Source organism: Homo sapiens, chromosome 9 (genome assembly GCF_000001405.40).
Source record: "Homo sapiens chromosome 9, GRCh38.p14 Primary Assembly".
Lineage (NCBI taxonomy): Eukaryota > Metazoa > Chordata > Mammalia > Primates > Hominidae > Homo > Homo sapiens.
Window position 1 is genome coordinate 67,221,298 of NC_000009.12, and position 22,368 is coordinate 67,243,665.

General features: G+C 39.1%; 1 pseudogene across 1 annotated transcript in view; it reads left to right on the top strand.

Moving 5' to 3' along the window:
- CNTNAP3P2 (CNTNAP3 pseudogene 2) overlaps positions 1-22,368 on the top strand; it is a 237,697-nt pseudogene that overhangs the window by 161,838 nt on the left and 53,491 nt on the right. The window contains exons 11-13 of the transcript NR_111893.2: positions 1,524-1,630; positions 5,272-5,391; positions 12,811-13,014. The product of NR_111893.2 is annotated as a CNTNAP3 pseudogene 2 (transcript). The remainder of the gene's footprint in view (positions 1-1,523; positions 1,631-5,271; positions 5,392-12,810; positions 13,015-22,368) is intronic.

Sequence of the window (22,368 nt, forward strand, 5' to 3'; positions counted from 1 at the left end):
TAAAAATGGTATGAGGGTGGGCCCCCACCCCAGCCAACCTTGCCTGTCGCTCCAGCTCCCCCTCTTCTGATCAGTTCACACAGGCTTTTCCATGCCTTGGCCTTTGAAATACTTGAAAAGTTGTGATTCTCATGGCCCCTAACTCTTCTCTGAATGCAGACTAAATGCTCATTAACACCATGTAATTATGGAAGTCTTGGCCCTGAGCTGGTGGTGCAGTGCTGGAGAGCCAGGATAGGGGGCTGGGGGCATGGGGAGGGTAGGGAATGCTGCGGATTCTTCCCAGCCCCTCAGGTTCCCCTCAAAGGATCTCTCCCGAGGCCAAATACAGGCCCCTGGGGCTTTCTGTCAACTTCATACCCCAGTTCTCTGCTGGTCGTCCTTCCACCACAGCCAGGAGGCCTGTCACAACCTCCCGGCCCCTCTTCTGTTACTTCTCTGGGTCCCATGGTGAGGGGCACTGGGGTGCTCCCCGCCTCTGCCGCTCCAGCATGGACTATGATGTCCCTCACGGCCTGGAAGGTCAGTGTCCTTTAGAATCTTCACTCTTTACCAGGTCCTTAGCTGTGTACTCAGCAGTGGGAGACAGCGGCCAGAGGCTGAGATCCAACCCTGCTCAAGGCAGAGGTGGGTCATGGTATTCAGGCCAGGCCTCCAGAAGGTCACACTACCTCTTGGTGACACTCTGTGTCAGGTGCTGGTCAGTTTCCATAGTGTACCCTGCTCCCTGTTCCCCTAACAATCCTGAGAGGCAGGCATGCTAGGCCCCCAATATTATAGTGGGCGGCAGCAGATTCCAAGAATTCTGAAAGTGTGAGACCTCCAACTGTTCTTTTTCAACATTGGCTGGTTCAGGGTCCCTTGAGGTTCCCTATGAATTTTAGGATGGATTTTTGTTTTCTGCAAAAAAAGGCATTGGGATTTTAATAAGAATTGTATTGAATTTGTAGATTGCTTTGGGTCATATTGACATATTACCAGTGTTAAGATTGCTTAAAAAGCAATAACCGACTGCTTATTGCAAATCTAAAAGGTGACAAGATGACCTAAATTAAATGTTCTTCAAAATTTCTGAACCTCTGTCACTATGTGACTGAAGCTGTTCCTGTTTCTTTCTTCTCCCCTCTGTATCTTCCTCCCTGTTTCCCCTTCTTTCTTTTAAAAATGACCACAATATAGTAACGGAGCATGCCATATTTCATAGTTTTATGTATGTAATTGGTTTTGCTAGCCACATGTCAAGTTATTGTGTCACTTGGGACAAAGAAAAAAAGAAATGTGTTGAAAATTCAGCTGTCTCAGAAACCTAATAATCAGCTGCATGCTAATGGATATATTTATCTAAAGTTTGTCAATATAATTAGAGAACCTTGATGGCAGACCCAGTAATCACGTCATGTGGGGTTATCTTGCGTATGCTGCTCTTTCACATTAACCTGTTTTTGGTTAACCTGTTTTTGGTAAGACACTTATTTTTTGATGATTGAAAAAGGGAAACAGCAGTTGTATCTGTTTTCTTTTAGGTGCTTGCCCAGCTACTGTGAGCATGGGGGCGAGTGTTCCCAGTCGTGGGACACCTTCTCCTGTGATTGTCTGGGCACAGGCTATACGGGCGAGACCTGCCATTCCTGTAAGCCTCACACCTCCCTCTCGTTTCTGTCAGCATCTCTTTGTCATTTCATTTTGATTAGTTGTTTATATGTATCTGCATATTTGCAATCATGCAAACACATCAGAAGAGATATTTCAGCATTCAATTTCTAGTTTACTTTTAATCCACCTTATTTAATACAAGGGTGTTGAGACAGTGCACAGAAATACGTGGTACACATAGGATTGAAAAAAGAAACTGGCAAGCAATGGGGAAATAAGTCTAGGAGAATCAGATATAGTAAAAGGTAGAAACTAAATTAAATTAAAAATGCATGATGTTAACAGCTTGTTCCATTACTTGAGTTGGACCATAATTTTAATTCTGAGAATCTTCTCAGTCAAAGAAAGGTGGAAAAACAACCCCTTGCCAGGCTGTCAATGTTGCATTTAAGGTATTTAAAGATTTTTTAACAATCACTGGGATGATGCAATCATGGGATTGTACATGGCAAGATTTTTGAAGAGGTAATGGGATATCAGCTAGAAACTAGAGGACCTTTAAGATCTCTTACAATGACTGTGATTTTCTTTGGTGGTGGTGATGATGATTGTAAAGTGAATAATTGTAAAAGTATTAATGTATTGAGTACTTATGTCAGCCCTCTGCTATTGCTTTGCATATATTAACTCATTTAACCCTAAAGCAGCTGGAAGAAAGTACTATTATCTTCATTGCAGAGTTGAGGACAGAAAGAGGTTAAGTAACTTGGCCCCCAGCTAGTTTGTGGGAAGATGAGGAGTTGAGCTAAGGAGGTTGGCTCCACAGCCTTGGCTCCAGGATGCCTGATTGGTGGTCCATGCACCAGCAGCACCCACAGCCCCTGGGAACCTGTTGCAAGTAAAGACTCTCAGGCCTTACCCAAACCTACTAAATCAGAATCGCTGGAGATGGGGCCCCGAGTCTCTTGTAACCAACCTTCCTCATGCTTCTGGTAGACATTTAAGTGTAAGAACAATGTCTAAGGGATGGCATATTCTAACACTTCTCAACTGCCTCTGCCATATTAAAAATCATCTGTCTTTACTGAAGAATCACCCTCTGTGAATTTCAAAGGCCATGCCGTTTTATTGACCTCTAACCTGTTATAATTAGAACATCACAGAATCTGAAAAGCCTTTTTTTTCTTATTTGTTTTTAACTTTTAGAGTTTTCTTTCTGTATATCTCTACTGACGTTTCTGAGCAACTTCTCCTCAGGAATATTTCGCCCATCCCTGGGTCTTCAAGGAAACAGAGATGCAAAGTCCTCAGTTCCACTTGCTCATCCTGAGTTCCTAATTGAAACTTTTAAGAACTCTTCCGTGAGACATTTGATTTTCACAAAAGCCACAGGAGAAAGGCAGGCTGTGGAGTGTTAAAACCACACTTCATACTTGCAATGAGAATTCTGCGCTCCCAGTCCTGAGGTTCTGTAAAGGATCTGGGCAAAAGAGGAGACAGTCCAGGAGTGACTCTCACAGATTGAAGCATGAAGTATGATTTTTGTACTAGAAGGGTCCCTGTTTATAAAGCTGTGACACATTTTCTTTTTTTTGTTTGTTTGTTTTTTGTTTTTTGAGATGGAGTCTTGCTCTGTCGCCCAGGCTGGAGCCCAGTGGCATGATCTCAGCTCACTGCAAGTTCCGCCTCCCAGGTTCACGCCATTCTCCTGCCTCAGCCTCCCGAGTACCTGGGACTACAGGCGCCCGCCACCACGCCCGGCTAATTTTTTGTATTTTTAGTAGAGATGGGGTTTTGCCATGTTAGCCGGGATGGTCTCGATCTCCTGACCTTGTGATCCACCTGCCTTGGACTCCCGAAGTGCTGGGATTACAGGCATGAGCCACCATGCCCAGCCGCTGTGACACATTTTCTAGGAGTTGAGTGGCCTCTCACACCAGAGGCTGAATGTCTTGATAAGGTCATAGAGTTGGTGCAGGGACCACATCTTTTACTTCTGTGTATCTTTCATCCTCCAGGCATAGTATCTTACCTAAAAGCAGAAGCCTAATCTTGTGTGTTACCTGGAAAATTTATATCTGCCACCACACTCAGCATTGTCTGATTGCATTTAATATTGCAATTAATCAATGAGTTATATTAGTCCATGGTTATTCACTGCAATCAAAATATAACTCCAAAAACTTCTGAGGGAAAATATCAGGAGATTGAAAAAGTATTTCAAGTGTCAGTCTCATCTAATAATTGATGGCTATAGGTAGAAATTTGCCAAGCCCACAGTCATTCACTGTGAGACTAGACTGCCACACCTAGTTGAATAGGTTATTTTGTATTTCTAATTGTATAACATGTATCAATTATGTGCAACTAATTAATTGTATATAATTATTAATTGTATATAACTCATTGTATATAATTAATTATACAATTAAAATCAATTGTATTCAATTAATATATACTATACATTAATACATGTATACATTATCATTTAAAAAGCCAAACAGTTCACATAAAGCACAAGTTCTAGTCACTTTCCTCAATATTTGTCTCCATTCCAAACCTAGTCTGTGCCCTATATTTAAGTATTGTTATTAATTTGAGTGAATCCCACCAGACATATACAAATATATGTATCTATTTAAATCAATATGCCATAAGTGGCAAAAAAATAAAGATTAGCAATGTCCATCTCCTGCAGATATTAATTCCATACCTTGTACTTGGTAAAACATTTACTTGCACAAATGAAAATACTCAATTATGCTAGAGTAAATTTACATTATATAGGGATGTCTTTCAAAAAAGTTTCTCTCCTGTTTTGAATTTCGGCTGTCTTGAATTGTCACTTGCAAAATACTTAGGGATGTTTCTTTTTTAAATCAGCTTTAATTATTTTTTAATGACGAGAAGTTGATAGCTTATAAATTCCATTTATCTCTTTAAAATGCTCATTCATATTGTTTTAAAGGAAGCAAAGGGTATAACTGCCGCATAGCTTAAGAAAAACTTTACAGAATGCTTATGGGAAAATACCAGATTATTTAGGCATTTTAATGTGCTTAGGTATTCAGTTATTACAGGGAGAATGAGGGTTTCTTCCTTAATTATAGAGTTTAATTCTGAGGTATAGTTGCCATGAGTTTGGAAAGAACCATGCTTCAATAGCACGCAGAATTCAGATTCACAAAGTTTTCCTCTCGTATCTCTTCAAGTGTTTTACACTGTGCTTCAGAGTTTGCATGCTTTCTTGCCTAAAAGCAAAAGAAAACATTTATGTAGAGAAAGTACAGTCTCTAGACATTGCCAAAAGATTGTCTATTGAAGATAGTATCGCATTCCCACTGTAAGCACATCTTCATGTTTGAACACCAACACAATCTTTCCTTCTTCCTCAAAATAGAAATACACTGTGACCGAATATTTATTCAGCATCTAACAACATCCAACCTTTGAATGTATTTTGACTAGGTAATTTTTTTCTCCTTTGTTAATAAAAATAGATTTAATTTTTTAAATGTCATTTTTTTTGCATCTCATCAAATATACTGTCATACACTATAAAAATGATGTTGGGTCATATGTATCACATGTCTGTAATTCAGAAATGCAAACCTTTGGACACTGACTCAACATCTGGAGATATTTTTTCTGGTTCTTTTGGCTGGTGTTCTCCTACAGCTCTCTACGAGCAGTCTTGTGAAGCCCACAAGCACCGAGGGAACCCATCCGGGCTTTACTATATTGATGCAGATGGAAGTGGCCCCCTGGGACCATTTCTTGTGTACTGCAATATGACAGGTATGTTGATAATCGTTAGATGCATAGATCAGAATAGACCAAGGAGAAATTTACCTAGTTGGCAGCATTATTAAAACATGCAGTTTGATAGTGTGTACTTGCTAAGTAGAAGCATTAAATATGTATTTATTAATTTTGTTGTCAACAAAATTTTCTTGTATTTCTTCTTTGCCTGGATTGGATTATAGGCAAGATTCAATGCTCTGCCAAGGCATCTCTCTAGCTCCTACACTCCTCATAATACATCTGTTCATGTGCATCATGATAAAATACAAACCTCTGATTCGGTGATTTACATGCTTTCTGTATTTAGAAAAAACAGAGGTGTTTAAAAATGCTAAGAAATAACATAGATATGTTAATGTTCTATGTGCATCTTAAATAATTTAGTGATTTTTATGTCATATAATTTTTTCATAACCAAAGAAACTTGATTATTTCTCGTGCTTTAGATATTAGAAATGAACACTGCTTGGGCTGCGCATGGTGGCTCACGCCTGTAATCTCAGCACTTTGGGAGGCCAAGGCGGACAGATCACGAGATCGAGAGATCGAGACCATCCTGGCCAACGTGGTGAAACCCCATCTCTACTAAAAATACAAAAATTAGCTGGGCGTGGTGGCGCCCGCACCTGTAGTCCCAGCTACTTGGGAGGCTGAGGCAGGAGAATCCCTTGAACCAGAGAGGCAGAGGTTGCAGTGAGCCAAGATTGCGCCATTGCACTCCAGCCTGGCGACAGAGCAAGACTGCATCTCAAAAAAAAAAAAAAAAAGGAAAAAAAGAAATGAACACAGCTTGATTATAGAAGATTGCACTAGAACGCCTTTTAAATAGTTACATTTTTACAGAAATTTGTTGTCACCTAGCTCTTCCAACTCTCTGCAAAGTGGAAATCTGGAATAAACTGTTCTCATTTATTGTGCTGACAAAAGGTTTCAAAAGTTTCATAAATTTGGACAATAACCAAATGGGTCAGCAAGCATCAAGGAAAAAGAAAAAAATAACTGAAATTACATGGGCATTTAAAGTGCCTTAGCAAAGATTGTCAAAAAATAGTAAAACTTTACAGGGGATGTTCAGAAGATTCAGAGCCACCTGCACAGCAATGTGCTGAAGATAAAGAAACACAAGCGTTCTGCCATAAGATACCAATTACCTCCAAAATCCCGACTCAAACAATGAAAGCAAAGTGAGAAATCCCATAAAAATGGTCTTGGTGGATATCAAAAGACTCAACCAAAGTCACAACCAGGAAGGACCTTGGTTGTCATCATTTTAAGATGAGGAAACCAAGGCTCAGAAAAGTTGGTTAGGGAAGTATCTACTGACAAAATCTAGCTAATGATAGGGGAATCACTAAACTCTGGTCTCTTTTCTGCCCTAGAAAATGTCACCTTCTCTTTAGATGCCGCATTGCTCTATAGCCAGTAATAAATTCTCTAGTTGTACAAATCAAGCAATAATGATTATAAAATGTGCAATTTCAAACTACTCTAATAGCTTGAAATGTATATATCGTAATAACCTTCAAAAAGCAGTTGCTTCAGAGCTTGGAAGTCAGCACTCTATCTTAAGAACAAGTAAAAAGCCAGGCAAACTGAAAAATTAACCAATTTTTTTAGATCCAGCAGAGAAGTGAGGTCACAGAACAAACCACTGCCCCTCAAAATTGGAGAGACAGGCAGGCTTATATACAGAATGACAGTTTTCTTCCACAAGCACTAACCTTTGGGGAAACCGTTGTCAAGGTAGGAAAACCTAAACTTAATTGACGAATTGTTGGATGTTCGATGTGGACACATCTGAGAGTTAAGAACTCCAGGAAGACCCAGACAGAGAAGGGTCCCCACACTTCTGTGAGTTTGACACCTAGCTTGACCGGGTTCTCACAGTGAATGTTGGAGAAAAATCTCCTCATGCTTCCAGAAAGGGAAGGTGAAAAGGAACCGTCTTGAAGTACACCAGAGCTTTCTGTTCTTCTTAACAAGGTCTTTCCTCAAGGGCAAATATTTCACCTAAGCTACTGGTGTTTTGTTTTGTTTTGTTTTGTTTTTTGTTTTCAGAGCCTAACCTGCCTGGAGGAAGGAAATTACCCACCTCTGGCCATCCTGTCCCATGTAAGGGTGGTGATGGGAGGGAGGGCTGAGAAGCTCTTGTGAAGGTCACAGCCCAGAGGCACAGGCTCCCTAAAGGACTCAGACCTAATCACAGGACTACAGAACCTTTCCCCTTCCCACACATGTTACTTATAGTACTGCAGGCCTCTTTACAGCAGTTACAGTTACTTTTACCTGGTACATCACATCTGGTTATCAAGAAAAAATTTCAGCTGGACCTATAATCCTATTACTTTGAGAAGCTGAGGAGGGAAGATAGCCTTAGACCAGTTTTGAGACCAGTCTGGGCAACACAGTGAGACCCCCACCTCTACAACAACAACAACAACAAAAACAACAACAAAACAGCATTGTGACAACAACAACAACAACAACAACAACAACAACAAAACAGCATGGTGACATGTATCTGTAGTCCCAGCTACTTGGGAGGCTGAGGTGGGAGGATCGCTTGAGCCTGGGAGTTGGAGACTGCAGTGAGCCATGGTCACACCACTGCACTCTAGCCTGGGCAACAGAGAAAGACCTTGTCTCCAAAAAAAGAAAAAGAAAAAAGTTCAAGGCAAAAAACACACTTTGAAGAGACAGAGCAAGCATTAAAAACAGACGGTGGCTCACGCCTGTAATCCCAGCACTGTGGGAGGCTGAGGCAGGCGGATCACGAGGTCAGGAGATCGAGACCATTCTGGCTAACACTGTGAAACCCTGTCTCTACTAAAAATACAAAAAAAATTAGCCGGGCGTAGTGGCGGGTGCCTGTAGTCCCAGCTACTCGGGAGGCTGAGAAGGAAGAATGGCATGAATCCGGGAGGCGGAGCTTGCAGTGAGCTGAGATCGTGCCACTGAACTCCCCCCTGGGTGACAGAGCGAGATTTTGTCTCAAAAAAACCAAAAAACAAAACTAACAAACAAAAACCAGAGTCAGATATGGCAGGGACATTGGAATTATCAGACCAGGACTTTAAACAACTATAATTAATATGGAAAAAGCTGTAATGGGTAAAGTAGATAGCATGCAAGACCAGATGAACAATGTAAGCAGCAAGATGGAAATTCTAAGAAGCAAAAAGGAGTGCTAGAGATCAAAAACAGCATAACAGAAATGAAGAATGCCTTTGATGGGCTTATTAGTAGACCAGGCACAGCTTTGGAAAGAATCCCTAAGCTTAGAGATACCTCAATAGAAACTTGCAAAACTGAAAAGCAAAGAGAAAAAAAGACTGAACCCCACCCCCTGCAAAAAGAAAACCCAGAACATAATATCTGAGTACAGTGGCACAACTACAAAAGGTGTAACATACGTGTAAAGAGAATTCTAGGAGAAGAAAGAAAGAAAGGAACAGAAGCATATTTGAAGAAATAATGACTGAGAATTCCCACAAATTAGTATCAGACACCAAACCACAAATCCAGGAAGTTTAGAGAACACCAAAGAAGGAGAAATGCCCCCAAAACTCTACCAGGCATATATTTTCAAACTATAGAATTCAAAGATAAAAGTAAACTCCTTTTTTTGAGATGGAGTTTTACTCTCGTTGCCCAGGCTGGAGTGCAATGGTACGATCTTGGCTCACCACAACTCCGCCTACTGGGTTCAGGTGATTCTCCTGCCTCAGCCTCCTGAGTAGCTGGGATTATGGGCATGTGACACCATGCCTGGCTAATTTTTGTATTTTTAGTACAGACAGGGTTTCTCCATGTTGGTCAGGCTGGTCTTCAACTCCCGAACTCAGGTGATCCACCCACCTCAGCCTCCCAAAGTGCTGGGATTACAGGCATGAGCCACCATGCCCAGGCCAGGTAAAAGTAAATTCTTAAAAATAATCAGAGGAAGAAAGCACCTTACCTACATAGGAGATAAGTATTACAGCATCTTCTCTTCAGAAATCATGCCAGCAAGAATGCAGTGAGATACTTAAAGTGTGAAAGAGAGAAAACAAAACAAAACAAAACCTTCTCCTTGAAAAGTGAAGAAATAAAGATTTTCTCAGACAAATGAAAGGGTCAGTTCTCTAAAAGAGATAACCTTAATATGTATGCTCCTGACAACAGAACACAGTGGATCTTATTTTCTTTTTTCTTCTGGGACATATAGGAATGGGTATACCAGATGCTGGGGATTTCATATGATATACTGAGTAAATTTTAAGTGCAGACAATCCCCGTTTACAATGGTTCTACTTACAATATTGCGACTTCCCTATGTGAAACCATATGCATCCCTATTTCAAGTACCCATACAACTATTATTTTATTATTATTATTATTATTATTATTATTATTATTATTATTTTGAGACAGAGGCTTGCTCTGTCACCCAGGCTGGAGTACAGTGGCACGATCTCGGCTCACTGCAACCTCCACCTCCCGGGTTCAAGTGATTCTTCTGCCTCGGCCTCCCCGGTAGCTGGGACTACAGGCATGTGCCACCACGCCCGGCTAATTTTTTGTATTTTTAGTAGAGATAGGGTTTTACCATGTTAGCCAGGATGGTCTCGATCTCCTGACCTCGTAATCCGCCTGCCTCGGCCTCCCAAAGTGCTGGGATTACAGGCGTGAGCCACCACGCCTGGCCACAACCATTATTATTATTTTTTTTTTTTACTCTCAGTACAGTAGTTAATAAATGACATGAGATATTCAACACTTTATTGTAAAATAGGCATTGTGTTAGATGATTTTGCCCAACTGTGGGCTGATTTAAGTGTTCTGAGCACATTTAAGTTAGGCTGGGTTGAGCTAGGTTCAGTAGGTCACATGTATTAAAATGCATTTTTAATTTATAATAAGTTCATCCGGATGCAACTTCATCATAAATTGAGGAACATCTGTACTGTTAATTCCAATCAAAATCATGAAGTTAAATTAGCTTAATTTTCAAAGTTGGATATTTATTTGAGCAACAGGAGTGGAACAGGTATCAACGTGTTACAGTTACCCTCCTTCTGGGCTGGTGAGACGGCCTCCAGTGTGTTCTGACTCAGCCACACCTCTGAACCCCTTTCCACATTTAGCCACTGTTATAATTAATCTACTCAGGTCCAATTCACTTGAGCCCAGGAGGTCGAGGCTGCAGTAAACTATGAAGGTGCCACTGCACTCCAAGCTGGGCAACAGAGGGAGACCCTATCTCTAATAAAAAAGAAAAAGAAAAATATAAGGGTTATATTAGATGCTCTTTAAGATCCTTTCCAGTTCCAATATGCTTATAATCAATTGAAATAAATTACGAGCAATTAGGGAAACCACAATGGTCTGTGTCCTTCTTTGGGTCTTTTACTACTGATATTATAAGGAGAAGTGAGTCAAGTGGAATTTTATAAACACAAATGCATATCCTATAATGTCCCTGGTTACTATTCTACTCTTCAGAAAAACAAGTTTTACAGATGTATTCTCAACAGTTCCCTTCTCAGTACTGAGGGCATTTCTGTGATTACATCTTAACCATGGGTGACTGCAAATCTATCATACTGCCCACCAGCCTATGTGAACTACTCCGGACCATCATTTCTCTCCCATTGTACAACAAATCATGAACACATGGCCAAAAATGGCATGTGGTTGATCATCTTCAATGCCCAACTTAGTGTTCCATAGGTTTTTCTATATTTGATTCAGTTGATAGGAAAACTCTGAAGGTGAGAGTAGGTGATGTGCACAGAGTAACACCAGGTTGTAAAAATTCTAAAATGAGGCCAGGCGTGGTGGCTCACACCTGTAATCCCAGCACTTTGGGAGGCCAAGGCGGGTGGATCACCTGAGGTTGGGAGTTCAAGACCAGCCTGGCCAACATGGTGAAACCCCCGTCTCTACTAAAAAAATACAAAAATTAGCCAGGTGTGGTGGTGTTTGCCTGTAGTCCCAGCTACTTGTGAGGCTGAGACAGGAGAACTGCTTGAACCCAGGAGGCAGAGGCTGCAGTGAGCTGAGATAGCGCCACTGCACTCCAGCCTGGGCAACAGAGCGAGACTCTTATCTCAAAAATAAATAAATTAAATAAAAAATCTAAAATAAAAAAATAGAGCAATATTAAAGGAAGAACCCATGGAATTGAAATTACCATAGGCACACTTAGAGCCTCCTTTGGTGAGTACAGTGAGTGGAGTGATAATTTAATTTAAAATTGCATTCGTTATTTAAATTTGCAGATTTTTTTTCTGTACTTGTGGCTCATTTGTGGATATCACACCTTTGCTCTCCATGGGTTCTGTGACTAAAGAGATATTTCAGTAGCATGGCTGGTTTTCTTTTCCTTCTTTCCTCTGATCTCTGTTGTTAGGCATGTGTAAGTAACAGTAAGGCTGTGAAATTTGTCTTACGCACAAGCCATTTAGCCATTTAGCAGCCAAGCCATGAAAAATCCTGAGATGTGAAGGGCTGGGAGGGTGATTTCTCAAGGTAAAATGTATCACATTGTTTTGTTTCGTAGTTCTTAAAAAATCCCCATACAAATGTTTCTTCGTTTCTCCAGTTCGGAAAATTTTTATGTAAAATGTCCATTATTCTAAATATATCTTATTAGAGGTTAAAGGACCAGACAGCACCAGCATAGTAGAATTAAAGTGACTTCAAGTCTGGTGGGAGGTCCATTGTTGGGAACACTAAAGAACTCAAGATGCACTTCTTCCCTTTTGAGATTGTGGAGTCATTTTGTTTTTATTTCATCAAAACAATATAAGTAATCAAGTGACAGAGATACATCAGAAATGATGTCAGCAGGCAGTCAGATGCTCAGGGTCACCGCCTGGAAAGTGCTGTTAGAAGCTCAAGGCCTCTGATTCCTCTGGGCTTGGTCACTGATGGAGAAGCTGACATAATTAAACCACTTTATTTTAATAGAGCTGCTTCCTATCATACCTGTGAGTATGTGCGTCACAACGTCCCAATATGTATCTTTTATAAATTTATTCGATAATGAAAGAAATAGAGGCACATACAGATGAGGAAAATGCAGATGAGTTTAAAAAGATAAAGGTCCAGGTAGTAACAGTTTGGCCCCATGCTTGTGTTGATATAAAAAAATGGTTTTAACAACTAAAAAGTCATTGCTTACATGATACATTTTTAGGCGTGACGTCGCAAAAGTTTGGTCATCAGTTCTTCCAATATGCTTTCTCTTAGAGGCTGAGTTCTGGCTCAGTACATTGTTACACAGGTCCAACTCCTCAAATCGCGGCAAACATGCAGTAATGTAAATTTCAATTAAACGTTAATTCACATAAAAGACAGGTCTGCTTTGCCTCTTGCTGCTGGCCTCTGCCGCCCAGTGATGCCTCTCCTTTGCCCGTTTCTGCTCAGCAGACTCCGCGTGGACGGTGGTGCGGCACGGTGGCCCCGACGCGGTGACCCTCCGAGGTGCCCCCAGTGGGCACCCGCGCTCGGCTGTGTCCTTCGCGTACGCAGCGGGCGCGGGGCAGCTGCGGGCCGCGGTGAACCTGGCGGAGCGCTGAGGGCAGCGGCTGGCTCTGCTCTGCGGGACAGCGCGGCGCCCGGACTCACAAGGTAAGCGCCACTGCTGGAGGCTACAGGGGCTCACGAGGCCGGGGCGCGGCCCTCGGGCTGCGAGATGCCTTTGAGGGAGAAAAGGCCAGGGTCCCTCCCGTGGCTCTTAGTTCAAAGCCCTGACCGCTCTCTCCTTCTCTTCGCGCTCTTGGTTGGACCAAAGAGCATTCAAGAGCGCCTTCCTGACCATTGAGAGACGTTCAGCGCGTTCATATGCAGGACTAGTGACTTGTCCTTTCTTAATCAAGGGAAATTTTGCTAATAACTTATGCCTTAGCTTTCCGTTCACACTGAGGAGATAATGGCTGTAGGGCAGGCTGGGTCTAACAGTTCTTCATGAAGACCAGTGGGAACCGGTAACCTCCTTACTCTTCTCAAAGTCTTCCTCTAAATCTACTTGGAACCTTTGTTTCCTCCCTTTAGATTAACTGAATATGCCCTTCCTCAGCCCCGCCACTTTCACTGTGGTCTAGGATGAAATAATGACTAGGGTTATTAAAACCTTTTGTCAGTGGGTGTCTCATTTTTTTGAAATTATATCTTGAGAAATGTATACCTTAATCTTCATATATGGAAGTAATGTTTTGGAAACTCTGCCTGCATCAAAACCGTCTTCTCCTAAGTTAAAGACCAACTTCCCCCTCCTTTCCAGAATCCCCACAGTCCCCTGCAGGACTCACCGCTGCTCTCCAACAGTTTCCATATAGTTTCTTGAAAGCACTTTATTGCTAATTATAGTTAAATACTGAAATTTGCCTTTCATTTTTTTAGTTTTAGCAATCCCAAATAGTATATAGGTGGGAGGATCACTGGAGCCCAGGAAGTCCAGGCTGCAGTGAGCTGTGATTGCTTCACTGCCTCCAGCTTGGGCAGCAGAGCAACACCTTGTCTTAAAAAAACAAAAACAGTGTATGTCGGTAGCATAATAAAGCCACTTAAATTAAATTTCACTCTTAAATTTTCAATACAAAATCTTTAAGTTGGAAAGTGGTGTATGACTGTCATCTGAAGGTGGTTTGCGCTGATCCACTAACCCATACCTGCATTGCCTTCCCTAATCCGTCTGGCCAATCAGCCCCTGGAATATGCCAGACCATTTCCTCTGCCTGGATTGGCCTCTCTGTCACCCAGGCTGGAGTGCAGTGGCACGATCTTTGCTCACTGCAACCCCCTCCCCTCCCGGATTCAAGCGATTCTCCTGCCTCAGCCTCCCGAATAGCTGAGAATACAGGCAGGTGCCGCCACACCCGGCTAATTTTTGTATTTTTAGTAGAGACGGGGTTTCACCGTGTTGGTCAGGCTGTTCTTGAACTCCTGACCTCAGGTGATCCGCCCGCCTCAGCCTCCCAAAGTGTTGGGATTACAGGCGTGAGCCACCGCGCCCGGCCCTCACACTCTTAAATCTTACCCACTGTGCTAGACCTGTGCAGTCGGCATCTGGGTCCCTTCCCAGGGTGATCCCTCTCTCCCCTGGATGCCTGCCAGCCAATTTGGTCTAGTAGAAAGAGCAAAGGTCTGGTTGCATTCAAAGTTTGAAGTTCAAGTGCTAAGTCTGTCACTTAGCAGTTGTGGAAATTTAGGCCATTCCTTAATCTTTTTCAGACTTTGTTTCCTCTTTGATGAAATGGACCCTGTAGTACTGATCTCATGGGGTTTCTTTTATAAATGAGATATCTTACATAAGTTCAGTAAGTAAGAAACTCTCCTTCCCAGTTCTCCAGTTTTTTAAAGTTGGCATTACAAAACTTAATTATTTGTTAGTTCATTGCTGTTGAATGAAGTGTAGCCTTGGCTTTGGAATTGTTTAAAAAAAAAATCCCCAGGTGATCTTTTGGAAACTACTGGGCTAGGGGCTAAAATAACACAAGAAATGGAATATTCTACTCCCATCAGTGAGAATTTCCCTATTTCTCCTCTTTTGAAAAGATAATTTAAAAAAAATTTTGAGATAATTGTAGATTTACATACACTTGTGAGAAGTAACAGAGAGAACCCGAGTAGCCGTTAAGCAGTTCCCCCACCCCAAGGTGACATCTTGTAGAAGTATAGTGCAATATCACAGCCGGAATCTTGACATCCATACAGTCAAGATACACAGTATTTCCATCAGCACAAGAATTCCTCCTATTGGCCGGGCACGGTGGCTCATGCCTGTAATCCCAACACTTCGGGAGGCCGAGGCGGGCGGATCACGAGGTCAGGAAATCAGACCATCCTGGCTAACACGATGAAACCCCGTCTCTACTAAAAATACAAAAAAGTAGCCAGGTGTGGTGGCGGGTGCCTATAGTCTACTTGGGAGGCTGAGGCAGGAGAATGGCGTGAACCCGGGAGGTGGAGCTTGCAGTGAGCCGAGATGGCGCCAATGCACTCCAGCCTGGGCGACAGAGCAAGACTCCGTTCCGTCTCAAAAAAAAAAAAAAAAAAGAATTCCTCCTATTGCTCTATTGCTCGTTAATAACCACTAGTATGTTCTCCATTTCTATGGGTTTTTTTAAACTTCAAGAATGTTATGTAAATGAAATATATAGTATGTACTCTTTGTGGTTGAGTTTTTTTCACTCTGTGTAATCCTCTCTAGATTCATTTGCATAATTGTGTATATCAGTAATTTGTTCCTTTTCATTGCTGATTAGCAATCGGTGGCATGGATATACCAGAGTTTATTCACTCATTGAAGGGCATCTGGGTTGTTTGTTTACAGTTTGGGGCAATTATGAATAAAGCTTTTATGAACATTGTGTACAGGTTTTGTGTGAACATTAGTTTTCATTTCTCTGGAATTAATGCCCCAAAGTGCAATAGGTGGGTCATATATGGTAATTGCATACTTAGTTTTATAAAAAGCTGCCAAATTGTTTTCTAGAATGGTTGTACCATTCCCACCAACAGTGTATGATTTCATTTCCTCCACATGCTCATCAGCATTTGGTGTTGTGACTATTTTTTATTTTAGCTATTCTGATAACTGTGTAGTAATATCTTTATTGTGGTTTTAATTTGTGTCTCCCTGATGTCTAATAATATTGAGCATGTTTTATATGCTTATTTGCCATCTGTATATCGTTTTCAGTGAGATAGATGTCTGTGAATGTGTTTTTGTTGTTGTTCATTTTCTAATTGGATTGTTTGGATTTGTTTTGTTACTGTTGAATTTTCAGTTCTTTATATATTCTAGATACTAGCCTTTTGTTGGATATGTGATTTGCGAATATTTTTTCCCACTCTGTTGCTTGCCTATTCATTGACTCTTAACTGGAATTTTTTAGAGCAAAAGTTTTAATTTTGATGAGATTCAGTTTATCATATTTTCCTTTTATGGGTTGTACACATCGTGTCAATTCTAAAAATTCTTTACCTAACCCTAAATTCCAATTCCAAAGATTTTTGAATTTTTTTCCTAAAAGTTGTATAGTTTTACCTTTTACTTTTAATTCCATGCCCTATTTTGGGACACATTTTATATAAGATGTGAGAGTTGATTCTCTCTCACTCTCTCTGACTATGAATGTTCAGTTGCTCCAGAACCATTTGTTGAAAAGGCTATCCTTCCTGCATTGAATTGCATTTTAAATAGTGTTAAAAATTGGTTGAACTTACTTGTGTGGTGGGTCTGTTTCTGCATTCTTTATCTGTTTCATTAATTTATATGCCTCCACCAATATCACACTGTCTTGAACGTGGTAGCTGTATAGCAGGGTTGAGTTATTCCTCCTGCTTTATTCTTCTTTTTCAAGATTGTTTAAGTCTGTAGCTTGCCTCATTCTGTATAAATTTTGTAATAAATTTGTTTATGTCTACAAACATCTTGCTAGAATTTTTATGGGAATGACATTAAACATAATAGCTCAATGAAGGGAAAATTGGTGTTTTACTGTTTTGAGTCTTCCAATCCATGAACATGAGATATCTTTCCATTTATTTGGATCTTTGATTTCTTGCCTCAGCATTTTGTAATTCTTAGCATCCAGAGATTATATGTTTTATAAGTATGCTTAGGCATTTAGTTAGTTTCTTGATTGATTGTAAGTGCTGTTGTGCTTTAAATTTTTGTTTACATATGTTTCTTGTTAGAATATGAAATATGATTGTTTCATACTAATCTTATAAGCTCTTTTTTGAACTTAATTTTTTTTTAGATTCCTTGGGATTTTCTATATGGAAAATCATGTCATCTGCAAGTAGAGTCAGCTTTATTTCTTCCTCGTCAATCTGTAGGGAGTTAATTTATTTTTCTTGCTTTATTGCAGTAGCTAGACTTTCAATACTAGGTTGAACTAGAGTGGTGAGGACAGACATCCTTGCCTTGTTTCCTGTCTTAGGGGAAAAGCATTCATTCTTGTTTCCTATGTTATGTGGAGGTAGTTCCCTTTTATTCCTGGTTGGCTGACAGTTTTTATTTTGAAAGGACATTGGATTTTTGTCAAATGTCTTTTCTGTGTCAATTGGTATTAAAATATTATATTTCTTCTTTTGTCTGTTGATATGTTGAATCAGCTTTGCATAACTAGAGCAACTCCCATTTCGCCATAATGTATAATTTAAAAAATACATTTCTAATGTGTTTGATTTATTAATATTTTATTGAATATTTTTGCATTCAAATTCATAAGAGATATTGATATGTAGTTTTCTTTTTTCATATTGTCTTTATCTGGTTTCAGTATCAGGACAATACTGCCTACATAAAATGAATTTGGTAGCATTCTCTAGTCTCCTGTTTTCTGGAAGAGATTATGTAAAATTGACTTTAATTTTTATTTAAACATTTGGTAGAATTCTCCAGTAAGGCCCGGCAGGGTGGCTCATGCCTGTGATCCCAGCACTTTGGGAGGCTGAGGCAGATGGATCACTTGAGGTCAGGAGTTCGAGACCTGCCTGGCCAACATGGTGAAACCCCGTCTCCACTAAAAATACAAAAATTAGTTGGGTGTGGTGGCACACACCTATAATCCCAGCTACTCAGGAGGCTGAGGCAGGAGAATCGCTTGAACTTGGGAGGCAGAGGTTGCAGTGAGCCAAGATCACACCACTGCACTCCAGCCTGGGCAACAGAACGAGATTTCATCTCAAAAATAAAAACCAAAAACAAAACAAAACAAAAAGAATTCTCCAGTAAAACCATCTGGGCCAAGAGATTTTTTTTTCAGTAATTTTAAATTATGAATTCAATTTTCTTAATAATTACAATTACTTAAATTACCTATTTCATGTTAGGTGAATTGTGGTAGTTTGTACTTTTTGAGAAATTTGTCCATTAATCTGAATTGTCAAGTTGATTTGTGTAGAATTATTTATAGTATTTTCTTATTATTCGTTTGATGTCTCCAGCATCTGTAGTGATATCCACTTAAATTTCTCATATTTATAGTTTGTCTCATCTTTTTTTGTCTCTGTCAGTCTTTATAGAAGTTTTTCAATCTTACTGTTTTTTAGAACTAGATTTTCATTTCATGATTTTCTCTATTATTTTTGTTTCAAATTCTATTGAAATCTGCTCTTCTCTTTGTTATCTCCTTCCTTCAGCTTGTATGAGTTAATTTTGTTTTCTAGTTTCTAGAGGTAAGAACTTACATTATTGGCTTTAGGGCTTTCTTCTTTCCTAATGTAGGCATTTAATGCTACATTTTCCCTATCAACACAGTTTTACCTACATTTCACATATTTTGATATGTTGTATTCTCATTTTCATTTAGTTTTTCATGTAGTTTCATTTTCATTTAAGTATTTTAATAAATTTCTTTGAAGCATATTCTTTGACCTGTAGCTTATTTAGAAGTGTATTTTTAAAAATTTCTAAGTGTTTAGAGATTTTCTTTTTCTCTTTCTGGTATTGATTTCCAGTTTGATTCCATTATGCTCAGAGAATATACTTTGTGTGATTTTAGTTCTTTTAAATACGTTGAGGTTTGTTTGGCTCCCAGGGATATGGTCTGTCTTGTAAATTTTTCATGGGCATTTGAAAAAAAAATGTATATTCTGCTATTCTTAAGTGGAGTATTCTGTATGTATTTCAATGAGATCCTGTTGGTTGATTATGTTGTTCAGATCTTGTATATCCTTGCTGACTTCTTGTCCAGTAGTTCTGTCAGTTGCTAAGAGAGACATTTTGAAATCTGTACTATAATTGTGGATCTGTTTATTTTTCCATTCTGCTCCATCAGTTTTCTTATATTAATAGGCTTTATATTTTTTAGCAATTTTAAGTTTACATAGAAATTGAGCAGAAAGTACTGGAAGCATATGATTTTTATTCTTTAGCTTGTTGATCTGATGGACTATATTAATTAATTTTCAAATGTTAAAGGCATATCTAGAGTAAATCCCACTTGGTTGTGGTGTTTATTTTTAAAAATTGTTTGGTTCAATTTGCTAATATTTTTTAAGGATTGCTTCATCCATGTTCAAGGGAGATATTTGTTTGCAGTTTACTTTTTTGTAAGGTTTTGCTGGTTTGGGTATTAGGGTAATGCTGGCCCATGGAATGAGTTAAGAAATAGTCACTCTGCTTCTATTTTCTGCAACAGATTGTGGAAAATTGGTATCATTTATTTCTCCAATGTTGATAGAACTCACCAGTGAATCATCTGGGCTTGGTACTTTCTGTTTGGGAAGGTTATTAATTACTGCCTTAGTTAAAAAATTTTGTTTCTCTCGAGACTTTCTCTTTCACCATGTTTTATTATTTAGAAATGTGTTTTTAAATTTTTTGGTATTTGAGGATATTTCAGCTCTCTTTCTGCTATTATTAGTTTAATTCCATTCTGATTCAAGAACATGCCTTTTGTGATTTCTATTCTTTTAAATTTGGTAAAGTGTTCTGTGGCCTAGAATGTGGTTTAACTTAATGAATTGTGCATTTGTATTTGAGAAGAATGTGTATTCTGCAGTGTCTAGATAAAATATTCTATAACGCTAATTGAATTCTAAAGTATTCAGTTAGATCCAGTTGATTGATGGTGCTGTTCAGTTCAAATCTATCCTTAATGATTTTCTTCCTGCTGAGTCTGTCACTTACTCATAGAGGGGTGTTGAAGTCTCCAGTGGTAATAATGGATGTGTCTCTCTGTCCTTGCAGTTCTATCAGTTTCCCCCTAATATATTTTGACTCTTCTGTTGCTAGGTATATACATATTAAGCATTATTATATCTTCTTGTTATATTGACCCCTTTATTATTGTGTAATGCCCTTTTTCATCTCGGATAATTTACCTTGCTCTGCAGTTGGCTTTGTCTAAAATTAATTTAGATACTCTGTCTTTCTTTTTGGTTAGTGTTACCATGGTATATCTTTCTCTAGCGCTTCAAATCTACCTGCTATTTTATATTTAAAGAGGATTTCAGTAGACAACATGTAGGTGGATCATGGGTTTTGTTGTTGTTGTTCACTCTGACAGTCTCAGTCTTTTATTTTATTATTATCATACCTTAATTTCTAGGGTACATGTGCACAACATGCAGGTTTGTTACATATGTATCCATATGTTAATTGTGTGCTGCACCCATTAACTCATCATTTACATTAGCTATATCTCCTAATGCTATTCCTCCCCTCTCCCCACACCCCATGACAGGCCCCGGTGTGTGATGTTCCCCTTCCTGTGTCCAAGTGTTCTCATTGTTCAATTCCCACCTATGAGTGCGAACATGCAGTGTTTGGTTTTTTGTCCTTGCGATAGTTTGCTGAGAATGATGGTTTCCAGCTTCATCCATGGCCCTACAAAGGACATGAACTCATCCTTTTTCATGGCTGCATAGTATTCCATGGTATATATGTACCACATTTTCTTAATCCAGTCTGTCATTGATGGACATTTGGGTTGGTTCCAAGTCTTTGCTATTGTGAATACTGCCTCAGTAAACATATGTGTGCATGTGTCTTTATAGCAGCATGATTTATAATCCTTTGGGTATATACCCAGTAATGGGATGGCTGGGTCAAATGGTATTTCTAGTTCTAGATCCATGAGGAATCGCAACACTGTCTTCCACAATGGTTGAACTAGTTTACAGTCCCACCAACAGTCTAAAAGTGTTCCTATTTCTCCACATCCTCTCCTGCACCTGTTGTTTCCTGACTTTTTAATGATCGTCATTCTAACTGGTGTGAGATGGTATCTCATTGTGGTTTTGATTTGCATTTCTCTGATGGCCAGTGATGATGAGCATTTTTTCATGTGTCTGTTGGCTGCATAAATGTCTTCTTTTGAGAAGTGTCTGTTCATATACTTCGCCCACTTTTTGATGAGGTTGATTTTTTCTTGTAAATTTGTTTAAGTTCTGTGTAGATTCTGGATATTAGCCCTTTGTTAGATGGGTAGATTGCAAAAATTTTCTCCCATTCTATAGGTTGCCTGTTCACTCTGATTTTAGTTTCTTTTGCTGTGCAGAAGCTCTTTAGTTTAATTAGATCCCATTTGTCAATTTTGGCTTTTGTTGCCATTGCTTTCTTAATTGGTATATTTAGACTGTTTACATTTAAAGTGATTATTGATACTTGGATTAATATTTGCCATATTGTAACTCTTTTTTATTTGTTGCCCTTGTTTCTTCTTTTTTTCCTGAATTCCCCTCTCACATTTTTTGTTTTAATTGAGCATTTTATATGATTCCATATCCTCACTTCTCCTAGAATATTAATTACATTTCTTGGTAATTGTTTTAGTGGTAGCCTTTGAGTATGAAATGTACACTATAACAATCTACTTTCAAATAACACTATTCCACTTCATTAATGGTGCTGGTACTTTATAACACAGCATTTCCAATCCTTCTGTCTTATTTTGTATTACATTATTATCATTCATTTTACTTATTCATAAGCCATAATCACCCAATACATTGTTAGTATTATTTAGAGCTGTTACCTATTACATCAATTAAGAAGAAGACACTAGATTTTATTTTAATTTTTTTCTTCTCTAATGCTCCTACCTTTCTTTATGTATTTCTGTGTTTTTGACCTATATTGTTTTTCTTTTCTCTGAGGAACTTCTATTAACATGGCTTGCAAGGTAGGTCTACTGGAGAAAGATTTCCTCAATTCTGTTTATCTAAGTCTTTATTTCTACTTTACTATTTAGGATAATTTTACTGGATATAGAATTTTATATTAGTGTGTGTTTTCTCTCAACAGTTTAAATATTTCACTTCACTTTCTTCTTGCTTGCATGGTTTCTTAAGGGAAATCTGGCATAATTCTCATTCTTGCTCCTATGTAGGTAAGGTGTTTTATTTTACTGTGGTTTATTTCGGGATTTTATTTTTAAAAGATTTTATTTTAATTTTAAGAAAGTCTTCAATTTTTTGCAATTTGAACATGAGATGCCTAGGTGTGGATTTTTTTGTATTTAA